Below are 8,609 nucleotides of genomic sequence, written 5' to 3' on the forward strand. Positions count from 1 at the left end.
TACTTGAGAAGCTGAGGCAGGAGGATCACTTGAGCCCAGGAGTTGGAGGCTGCAGTGAGCTGTGGTCACACCACTGCACTCCAGCCTGGGGCAACAGAGCAAGACCCTATCTTTAAAAAAAAAAAAAAAGAGGAGTGAGGAGTGTGCCCAGAGCCTGTGTGTGTGGCAGTGGGGAAAAGGCACACCTGGCCTGGAGGAGCCAGCAGGGGGAGCCCCGGCCTGGAGTGTCTCTGCGGGGTGAGTCCTGGGAGATCCTGTTTCAGGTGGGGCAGGGCCAGGTTCAGGGTGGGGACAGGCAGAACCTTCCCTGAGGAAGAGGGAGTGGTGTCATACCTACCTCGGGGTAGACACTCCTCAGTGACATCAGTGCTCTTCCCACCTTTTCCAAGACCCTCGAGTCTTCCATCCAGGGCCTCCGGATAATGTGAAGCTGAGTGAGCCTCCGCCATCCAGCATGACAAACTGTGGCCGACCGCAGCTGTGCCGTGGCACGATGGCGAGGAAGCCAGCCCCAAGGAAACACTGAAAACACATATCACGCCAATGCCGTGTGGTTTTGTTTGAATATAAAATTGGTGAAAGTGTTGGTTTTTTTAAGGCAGTAATTTTTTTGTTTGTTTTTTTGCGATTTCATTCCATTCTTGACCAAAGCTTCTCTTTAAGTAGTTTATTATGGAAAATTGTCACACTAACTTAAAAGACAGGGTGAGGGAGATATGTAAATTGTCCACTAGAAAATTAAATAAAAGAACTGAATGTGGTTTTGGTTTTGTTTCCTTGTAGTATTTCAATTTTTAGTAGAAAAATATGAGCGAATTCTTCATTCGATTCAGTTTTTTTTAGGCAAAATCTTAGATCCTTGGTTTCTTAAATTGTACCATTCTATACAACCTTGAACCAAAAAGCACCATTTAGTGAGGGGTGAGAGAGAACCGTTTCTGAACATTGCAATACTTCTGCAAAGTAGGTTGTGTCGGTCTGTTTTGTGTTGCAATAAAGGAATACCTGAGGCTGGGTAATTTGTTTAAGAAAAAAGATTTATTTGGCACACGGTTCTGCCGGTTGGACAAGAAGCATGGTGCCTGCGTCTGCTTTTGGGGAAGCCTCAGGAAGGTTTTACTCATGGCAGAAGGCGAAGGGGAAGCAGGCGTGTCCCATGGCGGGAGAGGATGCAAGAGAGAGTGGGGAGGACCAGGCTCCTTGAAACAACCAGGTCATAGAGTGAGAACACACTCATTCCTGCCAGGGGGCACCAAGCCATTCATGAGGGATCCGCCCCATGACCCAAACACCGCCCACCAGGCCCCACCCCAACACTGAGGATCGCATTTCAGCGTGAGATTTGGAAGGGACACACAGCCAAGCCCTGTCAGAGGTACACCGTTCCCGTCTTGCATGTGAGCAACAGAGAAGCCCACCTCCACTGAGCAGCCAAGCCCGAATGGGAGCCTGCCCTGGGAGGCCCTGGGGCCCGGTGCCCACAGCATGGCAGCCCACTGTTAGCAGTGCACCTGCCAAGGGTACGCTGTGGGGGGTGTGCAAGGGGGCGGGAAAGGGGAAAGTCAGCATCTTGGCTTAGAGTTGATTGTGCCTACACTGAGCTACTTTCATCATGATGAGACGTAAAGTTTGACATTCCATGGCAGAGAATCTTAAGAGGTACAAGTATAAATGAAAAGCAAAATAAGTAAAGAGTAGCCGGAGCCTGGCCACATCCTTGATCTCACGGCTCCCTTCTAGAATGCTGGTAACAGTGCTTCCCAAGGCACATCATGATGTGCTCGAGAGAAGGTAATTTGGCCCTCTTGTGACTCATGGGAAGAGCCCTCACTCCAAGAGGGAATCCTACCTAGCACCAGGGGTGCTGGCCTCATGGCCCTGCCTGGTCCCTATAGTGTCGTCTCTGGGCCCCCAGTGGCAGGAGCTCCTTTGTGTACACGTTTGTATGCATAGTGCATTGGCAAGGCTCCGTGAGGGTAGACAAAAACTGGCCATAAAGCAGGAATTAGCTGAAGATTTCTCTTTTAGCCGGACGCGGTGGCTCACGCCTGTAATCCCAACACTTTGGGAGGCCGAGGCGGGCAGATCACCTGAGGTCCAGAGTTTGAGACCAGCCTGACCAACATGGGGAAACCCCATCCCTATTAAAAATACAAAATTAGCCAGGCATGGTGGTGCGTGCCTGTAATCCCAGCTACTTGGGAGGCTGAGGCAGCAGAATCACTTGAACCCAGGAGGCAGAGGTTGTGGTGAGCCGAGATCATGTCATTGCACTCCAGCCTGGGCAACAAGAGTGGAATTCCGTCTCAAAAAAAACAAACAAAAAATTAGCCAGGTGTAGTGGTGGGTGCCTGTAATCCCAGCTACTCAGGAGGCTAAGGCAGGAGAATTGCTTGAACCCAGGTTGCAGTGAGCTGAAATCATGCCACTGCACTCCAGCCTGGGGGATAGAGCAAGACACTGTCTCAAAAAAAAAAAAAGTTCAGGTGCGGTGGCTCATGCCTGTAATCCCAGCACTTTCGGAGGCCGAGGCAGGTGGATCACGAGGTCAGGAGATTGAGACCATCCTGGCTAACACAGTGAAACCCGGTCTCTACTAAAAATACAAAAAATTAGCCAGGCGTGGTGGCGGGTGCCTGTAGTCCCAGCTACTCGGGAGGCTGAGGCAGGAGAATGGCGTGAACTCGGGAGGCGGAGCTTGTAGTGAGCCAAGATCGCACCATTGCACTCCAGCCTGGGCAACAGAGCGAGACTACGTCTCAAAAAAAAAAAAAAAAAAACCTACAAAATTGACTTACTTTTGCCTCTAAGAACTTAATAGCCCCAGAGTTATTTTGCTGTTTTTTTTTCTTTTTTAAATAAAAACATTTTGAAATTATAATAGAGACAGGGTCTCCCTGTGTTGCCCAGGCTGGTCTCAAACTGGGCTTAAGCAGTCCTCTTGCCTCAGCCTCCCAAAGTGCTGGGATCATAGGCGTGATCCACTGTACCCGGCCTATTTTGCCTTTTTTTTTTTTTTTTTTAAGATGGAGCGTCTTTCTCTGTCAACCAGGCTAGAGTGCAGTGGCATGATCTCGACTGACTGCAGCCTCTACCTTCCAGGTTCAAGTGATTCTCATATTTCAGCCTCCTGAGTAGCTGGGATCACAGGTGACCCCAGTCTCCGAGTAGCTGGGATTACAGGCGTATACCACCACGCCTGGCTAATTTATTTTGCCATTTTTTAACACAGGCCATTTCTCATGTGGGGAGGAAGGCCCACTCCAGTCACCGCAGCCAGAAGCCCTCAGTGCTTTATTTCAACGCTGGGGCCTTTTGAGTTTGTGACGCTCCGTCCTTCTCTCACTCTACCTTTGAGACTCAGACCAGGCCTCTGTCAACAATGACTACAGTCTGGGATGTTCTGAGAGGGTTCTTCAGGAAAGGTGTGTGAGCCACGCCCTGAATGCAATACTTTAGCTAACTATGCAGGCACCAAGAAAAGCATTTGGAAGCCATTAACTACCCCTCATAACAAACCTGTAGGGTTGGAACTGTTATTAGCACATTTTTCAGATGGCAAAATTCCAGAGAGGGGAATGAGCAGTCTCTCCAAAGCCCTGGTAGTAACCACTAAGCATGTGCTCCCCACTGGGCGAGGGAAATACCTTAGTGGCAGCCCCTTTTCAGCTCACCCACGCTCAGGGGCAGGGCCCTGTCACTGGAACTGATGAGAAGTTATTTGAGGCCGGGCGCGGTGGCTCATGCCTGTAATCCCAGCACTTTAGGAGACCAAGACGGGTGGATCCCTTGAGGTCAGGAGTTCAAGCCCAGCCTAGCCAACATGGTGAAACCCCCTTCTCTACTACAAATACAAAAATTAGCCAGGCATTTGGTGGCACGCGCCTGTAATCCCAGCTACTTGGGAGGCTGAAGCACGAGAATTGCTTGAACAATTGCTGGGAGGCACAGGTTACAGTGAGCCAAGATCGCCACTGCACTCCAGCCTGGGCAACAGCGAGACTCCATCTCGAAAAAAGAAAAAAAAAAAGAGAGAGAGCAAGAAGGTATTTGACAATAGCTTGTGGGTTTCATTGTAGACCTCGGTTTGTCAAACTGACACATCAGGCCATGTGGCTTGGAAGGGGGCTGTGATGGGATGTGGAATGCTGAGCGAGTGTTATGGGGGCCCCAGCTGTGGGGTACATCTGCCTTGCAGGCCTTTAGCCACCTTACCAGATATGTGGCCTTGGGGCTTTGGCCCCAAGGTTTTATCCTCTCCCCTCCTGCTGTCAGTTGGGATGGATCCCTTGATCCCAGGGAAAGTGACCCACATTCTGGGGTGGACCAGTGGGACAAAGGGGAGATTATACTGGATACTGGGAGCTCTTAGAAAAGGTCCCTGCCACCGCCCCCCCTCCATCTCCCATCTCCCTGGTCTGCCTTGGCCCACCCACTGCTTGTCTGCAGTCAACCTAGCTGCCATTTTGTGACCAGGAGGCAATAAAACTGGTGCTTGAAGCTGGGAGGCAGAGGTTGTAGTGAGCCGAGATTGTGCCACTGCACTCCAGCGAGACTCCATCTCAAAAAAAAAAAAAAAAAAATAGCGACAGGCAAGGGGCAGAAAGCCAGCAAGAACCTGGGAGACTGCACCAGCCCTGGCCTGCCTCCCCCACGTCGGCCAGCCCTGGAGAGTCACAGCCTGGGTTTGTGGCTGCATTTCTTGGAAACATGAGAAGGCAATAAAGGAAGCAGGAGTGTGTAGCATCTTCGTCCCAGGGCCCTGCACAAAGCCAATTCTAGGAAGAAACAGAAAGCTCTCCAAGTTGTTCTGGGAGCTCCAGATGAAATCCTTCCATCACCAAGTTCCCTAACCCAAAGTGTTTCTCCACGTACGGCTTAGAAAACTTTCTCCCCCAAAGGAGCCATTTCAAATAATGCCTTCCATTGCTTTCCAATCTGAGGTCTGCTTTCTCCCATCCACTGGGTCTTCCCTCCACGACTGAAGGCCTGTGGGACGGGTGGGCAGGTGGACAGTGCTTGTCAGCTTCACTTTACAGATGTGGAAACTAAGGCACGGTTACACTACAGGTTAAGTGGCAGCACCAGAACTGGACCCACTTTCTTTCTTATTTTTCCTTTTTTGAGATGAAGTCTCGCTCCATCACCCAGGCTGGAATGTAGCCTGGTTACAGTGATCTCGACTCACTGCAACCTCTGCCTCCCGAGTTCAAGTGATTCTCCTGCCTCAGCCTCCAGAGGAGGTGGGATTACAGGTGTGCGCCACCATGCCCAGCTAATTTTTTTTGTATTTTTAGTAGAGACGGGGTTTCACCATGTTGGCCAGGCTGGTCTGGAACTCCTGACCTCAAGTGATCTGCCTGCCTCAGCCTCCTAAACTGCTGGGATTACAAGCGTGAGCCACTGCGCCCAACCTTTTTTTGGGGGGGATGGAGTCTTGCTCTGTTATCGGCTCACTGCAACCTCCACCACCCTCATTCAAGAGATTCTCCTGCCTCAGCCTCCTGAGTAGCAAGTAGCTGGGACTACAGGCATGTGCCACCACACCCAACTAATTTTTGTATTTTTGTTTTGTTTTGTTTTGTTTTGTTCTTCGAGACGGTCTCACTCTGTCACCCAGACTGGAGGGCAATGGCGTGGTCTCGGCTCACTGCAACCTCCACCTCCCAGGTTCAAGCGATTTTCCTGCCTCAGCCTCCCAAGTAGCTAGGATTACAGGCATGTGCCACCACACCCAGCTAATTTTTGTATTTTTAGTAGAGAGAGGGTTTCACTATGTTGGCCTGACCTCGAACTCCTGACCTCGTGATCCGCCCGCCTCGGCCTCCCAAAGTGCTGGGATTACAGGCGTGAGCCACTGCACCCAGGCTTTTTTTTTTTTTATTAGAAATGGGTTTTCACCATGTTAGTCAGGCTGGTCTCACCCTCCTGACCTTTTGTGATCAGCCTGCCTCCGCTTCCCATAGTGCTGGGATTACAGGCGTGAGCCACCATACCCGGCCTGGACTCAGTTTTCTACCACTGGATCATTCATTAACACATCTGTTAAGATGTGTGTTGAGTGACTCAGGCACCGGGCTCTGTCATGGGCCCAGGGGAGAGAAGAGGGAACAGTACAGCCATGGCTGCGGCTCGCATAGGCTTTTAGAGCCTTTACATCAACTCAGGTGACCTTAGTTTACATTTTCGCAGATAGGAAAAAGGAGTCTTGAGGTATGCATATTTGTTAGGATGCTTTGATGATTCGCAGCAGAAAAACTCAAAGCAGCCTAAAAATAAAGTGGAGGCTGCACACCGTGGCTCACGTCTGTAACCCCAGCACTTTGGGAGGCTGAGGCAGGAGGATTTCTTGAGGCAAGGAGTTCGAGACCAGCCTGGGTCACACAGGGAGAGCCCTGTCCATACAAAAATTTTAAAAATTAGCTGGGTGTAGTGGCGCATGCCTGTGGTCCCTCCCAGCTACGAGAGAGGCTGAGGTGGGAGAATCACTTGAGGCCAGGAGTTTGATACCAACCTGCACAACATAGCAAAAACACTATCCTTATAAAAATTTTTTTTTTTTTTTGAGAAGGAGTCTCGCTCTTTCATCCAGGCTGGAGTGCAGTGGCGTGATCTTGACTCACTGCAATCTCCGCCTCCTGGGTTCAAGTGATTTTCCTGCCTTAGCCTCTGGAGTAGCTGAGATTACAGGCGCGCGCCACCACGCCCGGCTAAGTTTTGTATTTTTAGTAGAGACAGGGTTTCACCATGTTGGTCAGGCTGGTCTCGAACTCCTGACCTCAAACGATCCGCCTGCCTTGGCTTCCCAAAGTGTTAGGATTACAGGCATGAGCCACCGCACCCAGCCTATAAAAATTTTAAAAATTAGCCAGGTGTGATGGTGCACACCTGTAGTCCCAAGTGCTCGAGAAGCTAAGGCGGGAGGATCACTTGAGCCCAGGAGCTGGAGGCTTCAGTGAGCTGTGATTGCGTCACTACATTCCAGCCTGGGTAAAAGAGGGAGACCCTGTCTCTAAAACATATTAATTAATTAAGCGGATAACTTGGCTCACATATCTGAATCTTTGGAGGCAGGTTGGGCTCAGACCTTCCAGTCAGAGGTGACCAGAGCTCCGGTTACTTCTCTGACCTTCTCTCGGCTCTGCACTCTCCCTGCAGCTTCCCTTGTTGCTGTTCCACTTCCGCGTTCCACTTACGAGTCCAGATTCCTGCAGCTCGCTCAGAAGGGGCTTTGTGCGCTGGATCATCAGCTGAAGTCCTGGGCTTTGCTTTGATTGGGTCATCTTAGGTCACAAGTGCAGCAGGACAGGGAACACCGTGAGCTGATTTAGACCACTCAGGGCCACTTGGGGTCATTCCCTGGGCATCTACAAAGCGGCAGAAGAGTAGGATGGAAGCCAGGGAAGCAGCAACAGGGTCACCTCAGTTACCCTACACTTGTCCCTGTGGGAAGAGGGCTGCCGGTACAGACCCCTTGAAGCTTTGTATCTGCTTGAACTAAAACCACCGCCTGTGTTTGCTGAGGTTGCCGACATCTGTCTGAGAAAATACGCAGGAGCAGCAAGGTTGGGGGGGCTCAGAAAAGTTCGAGCACTTCCTGTGTGCACACTGTATGACCCGATTCACACACCTGGACACATTTAATCCTCCCAACTACCCTAGGGGGTCGAATTCAGTGGAAAAGAGAGCGGCGGCTAAGGGCACCTCCAATGGGGAGGGTGTCGGGGCAAAGCGACCTGAGACCCCCAGCCACATACTGCAGGACAAACCAATGTCGGCAGGTGAGGACAGGGTGGGAATAGTGTTCCAGGCAGAAGGAACAGCGAGTGTCAAAGCCTCTAAGCCTGACAGGGTGGGAGTCTGGCCTCGGATCTCCAGAGATCCAGGAAGACCCTGCACAAATACTAGAGAGAGGGGTCTGAAGGAGAGAAGAGGAGGGAAGGTTTTTGTTGTTGTTTGAGAGGAAGTCTCGCTCTGTTGCCAGGCTGGCGTGCAGGGGCCCCATCTTGGCTCACTGCAGCCTCTGCCCCCGGGGTTCAAGCAATTCTCGTGCCTCAGCCTCCCGAGTAGCTGGGATTACAGCAGCGCTCCATCACGCCATGGGGCTCCTTGCAGCTAATTTTTTTTTTTTTTGAAACAGAGTCTCACTCTGTCGCCCAGGCTGGAGTGTAATGGCGCGATCTCGGCTCACTGCAACCTCTGCCTCCTAGATTCAAGCGATTCTTCTACCTCAGCCTCCCGAGTAGCTGGGATTACAGGCATGCGCCACCACGCCTGGCTAATTTTTGTATTGTTTAGTAGAGACGAGGTTTCACCGTGATAGCCAGGATGGTCTCGATCTGAGCTCGTGATCCTCCCGCCTCGGCCTCCCAAAGTGCTGAGATTACAGGCGTGAGCCACCGCGACCGGCCGAGGTAAGGTTTTCACTGGGGTCTCTTCCATCTGCCTGGCCGCCAGGCCACGTATCCACTGAAGAGGCAGAGGGTCAGGATGGGAAGACTCCGGGGACCACCTAGCCCAAGACCCGCAATCAGGCGGCTCTGCAAGGCTAACCGGGTAACTTAAAGAAGTGAAGCCGATTGACGTAAAACAGAAAGGAAAGAAGTTAA

General features: G+C 51.3%; 1 protein-coding gene across 2 annotated transcripts in view, besides 3 other annotated features; it reads left to right on the plus strand.

Annotated features, from left to right (window-relative positions):
* Positions 1–761, plus strand: part of ARPC1A (actin related protein 2/3 complex subunit 1A) — a 40,365-nt gene extending 39,604 nt beyond the window's left edge. For both annotated transcript variants that reach the window (NM_006409.4, NM_001190996.2), the window contains exon 10: positions 390–761. In NM_006409.4, the coding sequence (NP_006400.2) occupies positions 390–428 (39 nt within the window). In that variant the 3' untranslated portion in view covers positions 429–761. The remainder of the gene's footprint in view (positions 1–389) is intronic.
* Positions 3,533–4,446: an enhancer, noted in NCBI's record as "H3K27ac-H3K4me1 hESC enhancer chr7:98966657-98967570 (GRCh37/hg19 assembly coordinates)". NCBI's record gives its function as "activates a minimal SCP1, AML or CMV promoter by ChIP-STARR-seq in primed H9 embryonic stem cells {active_cell/tissue: H9 hESC(primed)}" and the evidence as "EXISTENCE:reporter gene assay evidence [ECO:0000049][PMID:30033119]".
* Positions 4,525–4,819: an enhancer, noted in NCBI's record as "tiled region #4482; K562 Activating DNase matched - State 5:Enh". NCBI's record gives its function as "activates a minimal TATA promoter and a strong SV40 promoter by Sharpr-MPRA in K562 cells {active_cell/tissue: K562}" and the evidence as "EXISTENCE:reporter gene assay evidence [ECO:0000049][PMID:27701403]".
* Positions 7,809–8,309: an enhancer, noted in NCBI's record as "H3K4me1 hESC enhancer chr7:98970933-98971433 (GRCh37/hg19 assembly coordinates)". NCBI's record gives its function as "activates a minimal SCP1, AML or CMV promoter by ChIP-STARR-seq in naive H9 embryonic stem cells {active_cell/tissue: H9 hESC(naive)}" and the evidence as "EXISTENCE:reporter gene assay evidence [ECO:0000049][PMID:30033119]".

Source organism: Homo sapiens, chromosome 7, assembly GCF_000001405.40.
Source record: "Homo sapiens chromosome 7, GRCh38.p14 Primary Assembly".
Taxonomy (NCBI): Eukaryota; Metazoa; Chordata; class Mammalia; order Primates; family Hominidae; genus Homo; species Homo sapiens.